Raw genomic sequence first — 14274 nt, 5'->3', positions numbered from 1 at the left:
GTTGTCTTAGGAGTTACAATATACATTTTTAAATAATTTGTGTCTAACTTAAATTATACTGTTTCGTTTGTTGGGTAACGATGTGGTATAAACACACAACATATTTTACTATTTTTGCTATGAAAATTAGCTTTTAGAGCAACTAATAACAAGAAAAAATTATATTTTGCCTCAATTTATTCCATTTCCAATTCTCTTCATTTCCTTGTGTAGATTCAAGGATTCAAGGTTTTGTTGTTGTTGTTGTTTTGAGATGGGTTCTCACTCTGCTGCTCAGACTGGAGTGCAGTGGCCTGATCTTGGCTCACTACAACTTCTGCCTCCCAGGTTCCAGCGCTTCTCCTGCCTCAGCCTCAGAGTAGCTGGGATTACAGGTATGCATCACCACACCTGGCTAATTTTTGTATTTTTAGTAGAGACAGGGTTTCACCATGTTGGCCAGGCTGGAAGATTCAAGTTTCTGACCTATCATATTTCTTCAGCCTGAAGAAGTTCCTTTAACATTTCTTATAAGATAATCTGCTACCAATGCATTCATTCTCTTAGTTTTTGTTAGCTGGAGAAAGTCTTTATATTTTATTAATTTCTCTGGATATAGAATTCTGGGTTGATAGTTTCTTTCAGAACTTTAAAAATAAAATAGTAAGCCGTTATTTTCTGGCTGACTTGTTTCTGATGAGAAGTGCGATATATTCTTATCCTTGTTCCTCTGTAGGTAATGTACCTCTGAGGGAGAGGGTGCCTGCCTTCATGATTTTCTTGTCTTTGATTTTCAGCAGTCTGAATATGATATGCCTGGATGATCTTATTGTGTGTTTGTTTTTATATTTATCCTTCTTGGTGTTCTCTGAGCTTCTTGGATCTATACTTTGGTGTTTGTTATTAGCTTGGAAAATCTTCTGCTATTATTTCTTCAAATGTTTCTTCAGTCTCATTCTCTTTCACTTATTCTTTGGGGATTTCAATTATGTACATTTTAGACAATTAGATATGGTGTAACACTCCTGGATACTGTGTTGTGGGGATTTTCTCCTCTACTCTTCTTTTTTTTGTACTTTAGTTTGCAGAATTTCTATTGATCTCTATCCAGTTCACTGATTCCTTCTGTGGCTGTCAAGTCTACTGTTGAGTCCCTCAAAGACAATCTTCAGCTCTTTTACTGTGTTTTTGTTTTTTAGTATTTTCATATTATTCTTTTTTATAGTTTCCATCTTTCTGTTGAAATTATCTAGCTGAACTTGCATGTTTTCTATCTTCTCCATTAGCATTTTTACCATATTAATCACAGTCATTTTAAATCCTGTGTTTGATAGGTCCATGTATGTGTCATATCTTAGTTGTGATGGTTGTATATGATTGCTTTGTCTCTTCAGACTGTGGGTTTTCTTTGCCTTTTCCTATGTCTCATACATTTTTTTTGGTTGAAAGTTGGGCATGTTGCAAAGGACAAAGATACATGTCTTTCTTGCTGCCAGGCCTTTAGTGGAAGGTTTTGTGTTAATATAGTCAGGAGTTGATCTGGGTTTGAGGTTTGTTGTTGCCATAACATAGTTTTCCCTTATCCAGTTTCACTTTCCATGGTTTTAGTTAACTGTAATCAATTGTGACCCAAAAATGTTAAATGGAAGATTTCAGAAATAATGTATAAGTTTTAAATTGCATGTCATTCTGAGTAGTGTGATGAAATTTTGTGCCATCCTACTCCATCCTGCCCAGGATGTGAATCATTCCTTTGTCCAGTATCTCCATGCTATAAACACCAATCACCATTAGTCACTCAATGGCCAACTCGGTTATCAGATCAACTGTGACTGTCATGGTATCACAGAGCTTGTGTTAAGTAACCCTTATTTTAGTTGATAATAGTCCCAAGTACCACAGTAATGATGCTGGCAATTAGAATATGCCAAAGGGAAATTATAAAGCGTTTCCTTTAAGTGAAAATGTGAAAGTTCTCAACTTAATAAATAATGAAAATTATATGCTGAGGTTGCTAAGATCTATGGTAAGAATGAATCTTCTATCCATGAAATTGTAAAGAAGAAAAACGAAATTTGTACTAGTTTTGCTGTTGCACCTCAAACTGCAAAAGTTACAACCATAGTCCATGATAAAGGCTTATAAAGATGGGAAAGGCACTAAATTTGTGGGTGGAAGACATAAACAGAGACATATTCCCACTGACAGCAATCAGGTTTGGCACAATTTGAGGTTTCAGGCATTCACTGGTGGTCTTGGAACATATCCCCCATGGATAAGGGAGGACTATCGTGATTATTTTCAGTGCACCATAGCCTCAAATTCCTCTAGCAATACCTTGTGTTTAGGATGTGAGCTAATTTGCCAGAGGGTTTTTCTTCCCCCTCAGTGTTTACTCCCTTCTTACCTTAGAGTTCTTCCTTCTGCACTGTTTCCTAGTTTTTCTTCCCCCTCAGTATCTACTCCCTTCTTACCTTAGGGTCTTCCTTCTGTATTGTTTCCTAGAGAGAATCTGTCTTTTGCAGCAATCTCAGCTGTAGGTTACTTTTACTCAACACTTGTTAGCATGGTGGTAGGGAGAGCCGGAAGGGGTGTATTCTCTCACCAAGCCTTAAAATGAGGCAGTCACTGTGGATTTAAGCTTGTACCAGCTGTAGTCCTGGGCTGCCACCCTCAGAGTAGAGTTTAATTTTTTCTCTTCCTTTCCTGCAATTTCAATGGATTTTCGCCAGTGCCCTAAACTGACAATTGTTATCATTTTTTGCCCTGTAGTTTAAGATTTTTGTTCCATAGGGGAGATATGGGAGATGGGTCTGGGAAGTGTTTCGGGAGTAGCTACTATTCCCTCCCCCAAGTCAGCACAATTAGGAAAACTTTCTTAGGAGTCTTCCCTATCTTCTCTTTGAGTGTCTCATCATACCCTTGGAAGACAGGACTGCAAGAGGATGCAAATATTTCTATCTCTGGGACCCGGTGGCTCCACATCCATATGTGACCTGGAGCAGTTCATTACAATTTCTAAGCTGAATCTCCTTTCCAAATTATACAGCATGCAATGGCATCTGCCCTAGGTAAGCAAATGCCTGAGTCCTGTTGCACCTTGTAGGTCCTGGCCTCTCCCCAGATTTTAGGTTCTTTCCCTGCCATGTCAGATCTCTAATGAATTCAAGAAAGGTCACTAATTTTCACTTGATTAAGCTTTCATTTTCTTATTGTAAGGCTGGGAGGCTGGGAATAAGGCTCTTTCTGACCCTTTACATCTCTTAACTGAATGCAGAGGATCCACATATTAATTTTTAATGCTGAACAGAAACTGCATCCCTGGGATTAACTCCATTTGGTCATGACAGTCATTCTATTTATACATTGTTGAATTCACTTTACCAATATTTTAGAAGAGAGGTTTTTAAAATCTATGATCATGAGGAATATTGTTTTATAAATTTCTTTTCTTATAATCTCTTTGTCAGGTTTTTGTGCCAGGGTTATTCTAATCTTTTAAAATTAGTTGGAAGGTGTGCCTTCCTCTTTTACTTTCTGAGTTTGTGTTAAGTTTTGCATTATTCTTTTGTGTGTGTGTGTGTGTGTGTGTGTGTGTGTGTGACAGAGTCTTGCTGTGTCTCCCAGGCTGGAGTGCAGTGGCACGATCTCAACTTACTGCAACCTCTGCCTCTTGGGTTCAAGCAATTCTCCCATCTCAGCCTCCCAAGTAGCTGAGATTACAGGCACACGTCACCATGCCCAGCTAATTTTTTGTATTTTTAGTAAAGACAGGGTTTCACCATGTTGGCCAGGCTGGTCTTGAACTCCTGACCGTGGGTGATCCTCCCGCCTCCGCCTCCAAAAGTGCTGGGATTACAGGCATGAGCCACTGCCTTTGGCCAAGTTTTGCATTATTCCTTACTTCAAAGTTTGAACTCACCAATGACATCATCTGAGTATAGATGTATCTTTGTGGGGAAAAATTTTTAATAGAAATTCAATTCCTCTGATAGATACAGGACAATTCAGATACTCTATATCTTTTTGAATCAGTTTTGGTAAGTGGTGTTATCAAGCAATTTGTCCATTTCTTCTAAATTCGCAAGTTTGTTTATACAAATTTGCCATCATGTTACTTTATTGTCCTTGTAATGATTGTAGGATCTGTAGTAAGACTTCCTTCTTTTTAAAATCCCATTATTGGCAATATCTTGATTAGTTCTGCTAGGAGTATCAGTTTTGTTGACCTTTTAAAAAAATGACTTTTGGCATTGTTAATATTTTTTATTGTTTGACTTGATTCCATTGAGTTCTGTTTTTAAATTTTAATTCTATTTACTTTCAGTTTTAACTTGCTCTTCTTTTTTTTCCTAACGAACATGGAAACTTGACTATTAATGTTAAGCTTTTTTTCTTTCTAGTAAGGCATTGACAATGATAAACTTCACTCTAGGCAGTTCTTTAGCTGCATCTTACAAATTTTGTGTTTTAATTGTCAATCAACTCAAATTTGAAAATTTTACTTGTAACTTTTTTGAAGTTTAATTAATGGGTTTTAGAAATATCTTATTAACTTCCCAAATATTTTGGGTCTTCATAGGTATCTTGGTGATGTCTAGCTTAATCTATTGTCAGAAATTGTATGCTTAATATTTCCATGTTTTGGAATTGATTAAATCCTATTTCATGGATCAGTATATAATTGATCTTGAACCAGCCACAGTAGAAAAGAAAGTGCATTCTGAAGTTGTTTATAGTGTTCTATAAATGTCAGTTAAGTCAGATTGGTTGATAGTATTCAGATTATCTGTGTCTTTGATACTTTTTTGAATATATGATTTAATAATTACTACAGGAAGGTACTAAAATCTCCAACTATGGTTGTGGATTTGTCTATTTCTCTCTTTACTTCAATCAGGTTTTGCTTTATATATTTTGAAGATCTGTTTTTAGATCTATTATTTAGTCAATGCAGGAAGGAATGTTATGTATTCCTGATGAATTGGTTTTTAAAATAAGTCATTTCCCTTTATCTTTAGTAATGCCCTTCTTCCTGAAGTCAGTTTTGTCTCACATTAATATAGCCATGCCTGTTTTATTTTCTTTATGGTTTTCATAACATATCTTTCCTACCCTTTTAATTTCAACCTTATCTATATCTTTATATCTAAGACATATGTCACATATTGATGCAGGATTTTTTGCTTCTTAGTTCAACTAAACTCTGGGTTCTTGTCTCACGACCAGGAAAAGTTAGGCACATGGATACATTGAAGGGAAAGGAGGGCAGATTTATTAGGCAATACAAAAGCTCTCAGCAAAGAAAGAGGGGGTCCCGACAACAGGCTCCCACCTCACAGATTGAATACCAGGCCACCAGGGGCTGAAGAGGCCAGGCTCCTCCCCCTGCATAAAGTGCAAATTCCTGGTGGTTCCACCCCATTCTCTCAGTGTGCAGGCGGGTCCTTAGTCTAAGCCACTCCACGTTGATTTATTTCCTTAGTGGCACATGTGTTTAGGGATGAAAATTTTCACCATGGCATGTTTAAGGAAGCCTCCTGTGCACAGTGACCTGGGTGGCATTTGGCTGTCTCCTGCCTCTTTTATTATAGTTAGTTAGGTTTTGAATTTTTAAAATTCATTCTGACAATCTCAAGCTCTTTATTTGAGCATTTATATTATTTATATTCAATGCAGTTATAATTACTTATGAAGATGTGTAGAGTTCTTTGATCTTTCTATAATTGCAGGACTACTTGTATTGTGTTTACCATCACTTTAGGTTGTCACTGACACTCCTCCAAACACGGCTTTTTCTCTCAAAAATCTTCTTTTCCTTTCTCCCTTTACTCACTCACTGCCTGCAAAATCATGAGAATGTTCCATCTAGGTAAACGTATATGACTTTAAGACTTCAAAAAATGGAGCAAATGTTAGGGGAAAAAAAAACTTAACTTCAACATTCCTTTAAAGCACGTAGAGTACATCATACAAGCTCTTGGTTTTTCTTCTCTATATATTGAATCATTTCCATTTCTTGATATATTCTTAGGTTCTTCTTGGGTATACACTAGACAGAAAACATATTTTTAGGGTGTAGAATAGAAAATACTGCCTAAAGAAACTTGCTTACTTTGGGGTGGTCATAAGGCTGCTTCAAAATTGTCATTTTCTATAAAGTAATTTGTGTGAAAGCTATATTCATAAGCTTTTCTTCATTTTCTTTTTCCCTCACTTTCCCTCCTTCCCTCCCTCCCTTCCTCCCTCACTCCCTCCCTTCCTTCCTTCCTTCTTTCTTGTCTATTTCTCCTTCATCAAATATCTACAAACACCCTACTAAGTGCTTGGTACTTCAATATCTTTACAAGTATTGAAGCCCAAACCTCAACATCTTTATGAGTACTCCATGGTTTTTTAAACTCTCAGCTTTATCTTAGCCACCGTGACAGGACTGCATCTTCCCTAGAATTCTACCATCTTTCCAGGACCAGAGTTTTTACAGCAACATTGAATGTCTTCTGGTCTCTGCCTTAACTAACTGAAAGGAATTATTTTGGTTCTTACTGAGGAATCTCAGTAAATAATCAGCAAAATGGTCCACATAAATAAATAATGCTCTTGGGAGGCTTATTCAAGAGGAATGACAAAGTCGGAACTTCCCTGTTCAACCAGGGGCATCTTTGTACAGATGTGCTCTGCATTTTTTTAAATTGTTTTCTTCCTGTGGCAGAAATTTTGTTTTTATTTGTTTGAAAACATCTCAGGATGGATCTAATTAGCTAAGGAATGTGATAACATTCTTGAGACAATATTAATTGTTAGAGTTGAAGACCCACATGTGATCATGTTCTTTTTCTTTACATTGTTAATGGATTTTTTCATGCTGAGCAGTAACTCAGAGTAACTTATGATGACATGTAAAGGTCTATAAATGTCATCGTATTATCTCATGTAAGGGTTTACCTTCTTGTTTTTAATAGTTTTTTATTACACTAATTATACTTGAACTTATGCTTACTGTAAAAAAAATACATTCCATAATCAGAGTAAAAAATAAAAATTTCCATTACCATTCTTTCCCAATCCCAATAGATTGCTTTTATAACACACACACACACACACACACACACACACACATCATTAGAATCTAGTTTAATTTTCTAAAAGGTGCTAAACAGCACCTCTGCGTATGTGAGAGACGTCTAAACATTGTTTTCAATGGGGCTTATAACCCAAGAACTTGGAGATCCCCTCTCTATGCTTTCAAAACTTGACCCCTATTGGATACTTGTTATGAAGGATCATCTTGACATTCAGGAAAATGACCTATAGAAGTCATCTGAGAGACCATGGAACTTTCCTTCTTCAGAAAACACTTCACCTCCCCTATCTCCTAATTTCAAGTTCAGTGTTTTTACTTTATACCAGACTGACTCATTCTCACTGTTGCACTTATTTCAAGACCTCTAACATTTTCTCTGCAGCTTTAACATTCTATGATTACTCACTGATGAAATGCAAAAGTGTAGTTTAAAAAAAAACACATAGACTTTATTATTTTCTGCCCAATTTTCTTTTTTTGTTTCCATGAATATAGGAACCTGAATCAATCTTGAGAGAATTTATTGGTCACACACCAAGTTAGGTAAAAGGCGGATGAATAATTTCTTTACTCATTTACTCCACTCTGGGAACAAGAGACTGTGCTGAATCGGGATGTGTGGCACACAGAGTAATATTTCCAGCTGTTTCCTCAAATACGATGTATGAAAAGGAAAACAGGCTCACACTGGCATTTGGGAATTAATTCATGGCTACATAGGAATGCAAGGTAGAGGCAACCCTGATCTCCTCTCCTTGAAGTTAATAAATTTTACGTGTAGATGAGGGTGAAGAAGTCCATGCTGTAAGACCAAACCCAGGAAAGCTGTTTGTGATCCTTGCCAGCCCTTTTCCACGCCACAGTCATGAAGGGTTTTCTAATGACTCTGTCTACAGCATTCCTCTCTTCTAAATGAATTCACTGTGTGAATGGGGGCAGGGACGGGCCTTCCAGGTACAAGGGCAGTGTCTTTGGTGACCTGGTTTCCACCAGCTACAGTGCTGAAGCCTATTTCAACAATAGCAGACATCAGGTATGATGGTGATGGTGTTTTTGTGTAGTTCTCTTCAAATAAAGATTCTGTATCAAAATCCTTTCACTGGATGTAGAGCCCAGGTTATGAGCACAAATAATACGATTGTCATTGATAAAAACAGCTCCCTTAAAATGCAACATACCATATGAGGTCAGGGATGTAGAGTTCATTACTGGCTTTACTCTCCTAATTGACAATGTTGTAGATGATTAATGACCATATTTACATTATTTTAGGAGCATAAGCAGATAATCAAAGTGGGGGAAATAGAGAATTTGCCTTTTGAAGGACTGTATTTCATGAGAAGTATAAAAGTCCTGTGGTGAAGCAGTTGACTCTTTTAGACACCACTTCTACATACACAAAGCCAGAAGTACCCCACTGCAAATGTTTAAATCCAATCAGAGCAGTTATTAGATGTCCTGTAAATAATGAAAGGAAAAAGATGAGCTGACTTAAATCATAAATAATGAAAGGAAAAATATCAGCTGACTTAAATTCTTTTTCTTAACTAGTGTGTGTAATTAGAAACAGACATTGTCTCTCCACCAACTTCTTGAAAAATCAGAATGCTGCAGCTTCTATAGATTCCCTTTATTATTTTTTTGGGGGGGAGGTAAAAAACCTATGTAATTTCAACTTCTTCTTGGTTAAATGAAGACCAGAAAGCCTGTGTCTGTTCCTGGGGCTAACACTCACTTTTAACTAAATCTTCACAGTGATTAAAATATAAGGTTAAAGACTAACTCTGATTTGATGATTCTAAGTAAATTGTCCCTTTGCTGGGGATAAATTTTACCATTTTTATTGTGAAAACATACCCCAAGATCCTTGGAAGAATGTTTTCAGTATGTTAAATAGATTATTATTCCTACCTCTTCCTGAGATTTTTTTTTTTCTTTTTTACTTACAGAAATAAGAAAGCTAGAATATAAGGAATGGGCTTATATGAGACAAAGGAGAACCAAGAGCGAAATAAAAACAGGAATAAGTATTAAATACTACACACACCCCCAAAGACATTGGGTGGACTATAGAAAAATAATAAACAACACAAGAGTTGTAACACTCTTCTGTCATTTTTATAATTAACAGCAAGAACACAAAAGTGTTCTGGGATTATAATTTTTTTAAAGTTGGAGGTTAACACATGTTCTCACTCATAAGTGGGAGCTGAACAATGAGAACATGTGGACATGGGGAGGGAACAATACACACTGGGGCCTGTCATTGGGGGAGGGAGAGCATCAGAACAAATAGCTAATGCGTGCAAAGCTTAATACCTTGGCGATGGGTTGATAGGTGCAGCAAACCACCACGGCATACGTTTCCTTATGTAACAATCCTGCGTTCTGTACATGTATCCCAGGACCTAAAATAAAATAGAATTTTGAAAAATAAAAAATAAAAATTGGCTGAGCATGGTGGCTCACGCCTATAATCCCAGCCCTTTGGGAGGTCGAGGCGGGCAGACCACCTGAAGTGAGGAGTTCGAGACCAGCCTGGCCAATATGGTGAAACCCCGTCTCTACTAAAAATACAAAAATTAGCTGGTCATGGTGGTGGGTGCCTGTAACTGCAGCTACTCGGGAGGCTGAGGCAGGAGAATTGCTTGAACCCAGGAGGCAGAGGCTGCAGTGAGCCAATATCATGCCACTGCACTCCAGCCTGGGCGACAGAGTGAGACTCCATCTCAAAAAAAAAAAGAAAATTTGGAGGTAAAATTTTATTCAGAACTGAACATAAAGCCTCAGTATTTTTGAAAAGTTCCATGACATCTAGTTCCAGCACTCTAGCCATATAAAGAAATGTTACATTAGCAATGTTTGCCGTTGCTTCTAGCGTTGCAAATGGTTAAAATGCTGCTGAGCTAAAACTGCCCAGCAGGACCAACAGGTTCATCAGCCTGTGGCACTATGCTAGTCATGGCCTGAGCTGTTTTCTAGCATTATCACCTCCACAAATGAGCACTGCCATCCTCCAGCCCCTGGTACATCTGTTGTACAAGCTTCAGATCAGAGCATAGAAACAGGGACAAATGCCACCCACTGGAGTGCACTTGCTGCTCTGCCAACTGTTAGCAATTGCATGGCGTGTTTTCCACTTTCTCAGTCTTTCAGTTCCTGCATTTCTGGAAGGTGGATGACAGGTAAAGAGTGCGATTTTCCTGCCAAAAATCCCCCCCATGGGCGAGAAGCTATTTGTGTTTTCTAGAAATAAAGAGAGAACATAAAGAAAAATCTGGAAATAGGAAACATGTATCATAGCCCTAGAGGCTTGAAAATGAACTAGAGAGGCCACTCATCCATTCAGAAGGATAAAACTTCAGCCATTCATTCATTTATCCATTTAACAGATCACTATCCACTAGACTGTGCACAGAACTAATGTATACATAGATAAGCATCAATAAAATAATATATATTAAGGTATAGTTGAATGGACAACAGTTGAATGGACTCATTTTGTTATATTGCATTATTATATTAGAGAACTAAATCATACTGTTGTTTATACAAATTTGATACCCTTGTGTTACTTCCAGCAATGAGTATTTTAGCAAGAATATGAAAGAATATATCCATGACCACCTTATGACATGCAGGTGAAAGGAGAAGAGAGGTTAGGAAAAAGGAGCCACATTTCTTAGACTGTAACAGCAAAGGCAGCATTGAGTGGGCTGAGCAAGGTGGAGATCACTGATAGAAGGGAAGAGACAGCCTTGGAGAAAGCAGATCTGCCCCCACTGTTATGCCGAATCAGTCCAAAGCCTCTCTTAGAGAGAGGTCAAGATCCTAGCAGGTCCCCGGGGATGCATTAGAAACTCCCGACCTCCTGTCTGGGTAGTCCTTGCTTATGTTTCAGGACCCACTGGCTGTTGACAATTTAATGATCTGCACCGGAGTCAATTTTTGGACTAAATTGCACACTGAGCAGCAAAAATAGAAGGGAACTTACGCCTCTCAGATATGAAATCTGCTTATTATACATGTGAGTCCCAAGGAAATGGAATGACCTGCTCCTTCCCCTGATCCGCGATATTTAGAATTAAGACTTCCTCAAGCCCAGCCTTTTTCTAAAGGGCTCTTTCATAGGGGTTTTCTGAAAAGGGGACCCAATCCCCATCCTCTCTCCCACTTTGAGATGATAGTTGGTAATAAAGTAAACACTTAGGTGTGCGGTCTAAGAATGATTCTCTTGGAATCCAGTTACAAGCAAAGCCATTTCACCCCTTACTCTTTGTGTGTGTGTGTGTGTGTGTGTGTGTGTGTGTGTGTGTGAGCAACAAGGCTGTTTATTTCACCTGGGTGCAGGTGGGCTGAGTCCGAAAAAGGAGTCAGCGCAGGGAGATAGGGGTGGGGCCGTTTTATAGGATTTGGGTAGGTAGTGGACCCCCTTTGACTGTAATTTTCCACCCCCTCACTCTTTAAGTCATGTCCGGTACTGGGGCTGGAGCAACTTGTGCCAGCGTGCTCGAGTTGATTGCTAAATTTCCAGCAGTTGTGCAAGCCAGATGCCAACCCATTGGTAGCTTGATGTCAGCCATGAGGGAAGGGTCTACACCATGAAAATCAGCAAATGCTGCAAACCGGTCCTGGAAAGCCAGTTGTGAGACATTTACCAGCACATCCCTGACTACATCAGTTGCTGAATTTTTAATTGAATGATATATTCACTGCTTCATGAACATTGCACATTTATTCAATGGACCAACTCTCTCCAGCAATAGCATGGCCTGAATATAATAACTGTACCATAAATATTAATAATATGAACGGCGGTATTCTTTTTTCTCTCCAAGTCACTTCAAATGTCCTGTGAACTGCCCCATTGAATAATATATAAAACTGTAAGTTAACCTCAGCATTATCTTGAAGAATTGGTCTTTGGAAGTGTAAGTGCCTACTCAATATTTGAATGCTGTAGACACCTAGAATTAGAATGTTTGGGATCATAAATGTTCATCCCAATGCTACTGCCTTGCCTTCCCATTAACCTGAACTACAGACTGTTGCTTGAAGAAAATCCTTTAAAGGAATAAAAATCCATGTGCTGCTTCTCACACCTCAGTACAGGGAAAGAAGCCACTTCCGCAAAGCTCAAGCCTGATTTATGCAGAAGGCTTCTAGTCTTACCTGCTTCCTTAAAATTGCTATTTAACATAATTTTTGGTTTATCATTATAAATGCTAAGTGATCTTGAATCACTGCATCTGCTGAATCAGATGATTGCTCATTTTCTTCTACCTACAATGAACAAGCAATTTGAATTCACCATGAAATAGAAGCCTCACAGGCAAGTAATAGGTAGTGGTGGGTGGCTTTTTAAGTCTAAATGTTTTTTCCTATTTGATTTACTTAATTGAGCTAATGGGCTCTATGATAGGCTGAATAGCCCAGTAGCTAAAGTCATCATTAGCTATTTTCTTGGCTAACACAATAATGACCCTTAAATTGTCTCCAGTATTTCCAATTACCTTTGAAAACATGTGGAATGTCAGAAGCCCTAATAGGAAACATAGATGATATGATGGTTATAGGAAATCTTCTCCGATACTGATAGTTTTCACAGAGTCCTTTTATGTGTCAAGAGAGAATGGTGAAACAAATTACAAAATTAGCAGAATGTGAAAGAGAGGATTTTGTCTCAAGAAATACAAGAATCAATGATACCAGAATATTTAAAAATTCTCTAACTCCAAACATTTCATTTTACAGTTTAGAAAAATCAAGGCCCGGAGATGATAATTACCCTATAAAGATAATATTGCTAATGAGTGGCAGCCAAAATTCAAACCCACTTTTTTTCCCTTGAAAAGTGTGTTTCTTATAGTAGCCTATTAAAAATATGCTTTACTTAAGGGCAACTTAAACTCCAAATTCCAAGTAGCTTAAACCCCTCCCTCTCTCTTTCTCTCTCTCTCCCCTTCCCCAATCCCCTTTCTTTCTGTCTTTTCCTTACCAACCCCCTTTTCTCATAAACACAAACTACAATCATTTGCAGTATCATTTGCAAAACACTAACTGCCAGCTGGGGATGGGAGGGGTGATGGAAGGAAAGCATGGCTGAGACTCAGTTCCTAGGCTCAGCCTGCAGCCTGAAGATAGTAGTATGTGGCATTGCAGATCATAAGAGGTAGCCAACACGGAGAGACACAAATTGCAGTAGAATTGCTGAGTGTAGGTTGAACATAAAAGTAACTAACTTTTAGGTTCCAAAGTGAATCATCAGTGTTACGATATAGGGTGGAATGTCACAAAGAGGCAATTCCTCACTGAAGTCTTCAGTTTGGGGTCCAGTCCTAGGGTTTTATTATTTTTTCTCAGTGTACTCTGTCTGGGGTAATAATCTTTGCTAAGCAATTCACAAGAGAGTGACTGATTGCACCTAGCGTTATTTTGTTAAATCACAGTGCAGAAAATCATAGCTGCAGGGCCTGGAATACCTGTCAGCTGGCCATCCTGTTCTCCACCCTGCAACAAAACCTCTGAGGAGGGAATGAGCTGCTCCAAGCAGTGCACAAACATAATTTATCTTTGTGTGTCTAGCACCTAGTGTGACATCTGTCACACTGAAGGTGCTTGAAGGCTCAATAGAGAATGAATGAACAAATGAATGAACTACCAGAAGGCTGCTTGTTGACTGTGCATCCAATTGGATGATTCTAAGAAAGATTATCAGCTCACAATTGTATGAAGCTCTAAAGGCTCTTCTGTATACTGTCTGCATCCATCCAATCAACTCGGAGTCAATGATGAGATAATCTCTGACCCCAAAAGGATGAGGTTCATTCTCCGGACCATGATGGATTCATTAAGATAATTCCATTTTGTGAGAACACTTGGAAAGTGGGCAGCTGGTGTTGCTAGGCAACTCCTCACTCTCATCCCCTGTCTCCATTGGAAACATCTCCAGCTTCCATAACCTAAAATGGCCCTCTCTTCTGTAGGACTAGATATGTCAAGCCATCGGAATACCCATGCGCACAAAGCAGGACATCTTCTTCCTTGGTAAACTGCTGGGATGGTAGTTTCCAGCAGTCACTGGGGAGTGAGAACAGTTGTGGAATTCCAAACTGACTGATGTCTGCTGGTGGTTGTTTTCCTCCAAATGACCCAAAGCAACATGACAAGAAAATGAATTGTACCTACGATCACAGAGGCTGATCCTCGGT

The 14274-nt window shown here is 38.4% G+C and overlaps 1 long non-coding RNA gene across 2 annotated transcripts; it reads right to left on the bottom strand.

The window, feature by feature from the left end:
• Positions 1–7496: 7496 nt before the first annotated feature.
• LOC105376489 (uncharacterized) lies at positions 7497–13917 on the bottom strand. Of its 2 annotated transcripts, XR_930813.4 has the most exons (4): positions 13787–13917; positions 12577–12675; positions 9383–9471; positions 7497–8521 (listed from the first exon to the last, which is right to left on the bottom strand). It is a non-coding gene; the product is annotated as an uncharacterized LOC105376489 (long non-coding RNA). The 2 variants fall into 2 exon arrangements; XR_930812.4 differs by lacking the exon at positions 12577–12675.
• Positions 13918–14274: the final 357 nt, after the last annotated feature.

Source organism: Homo sapiens, chromosome 10, assembly GCF_000001405.40.
Source record: "Homo sapiens chromosome 10, GRCh38.p14 Primary Assembly".
Lineage (NCBI taxonomy): Eukaryota > Metazoa > Chordata > Mammalia > Primates > Hominidae > Homo > Homo sapiens.
The sequence above is the reverse complement of the archived record's forward strand: the minus strand, read 5'-3'. Positions and strand labels throughout refer to the sequence as shown.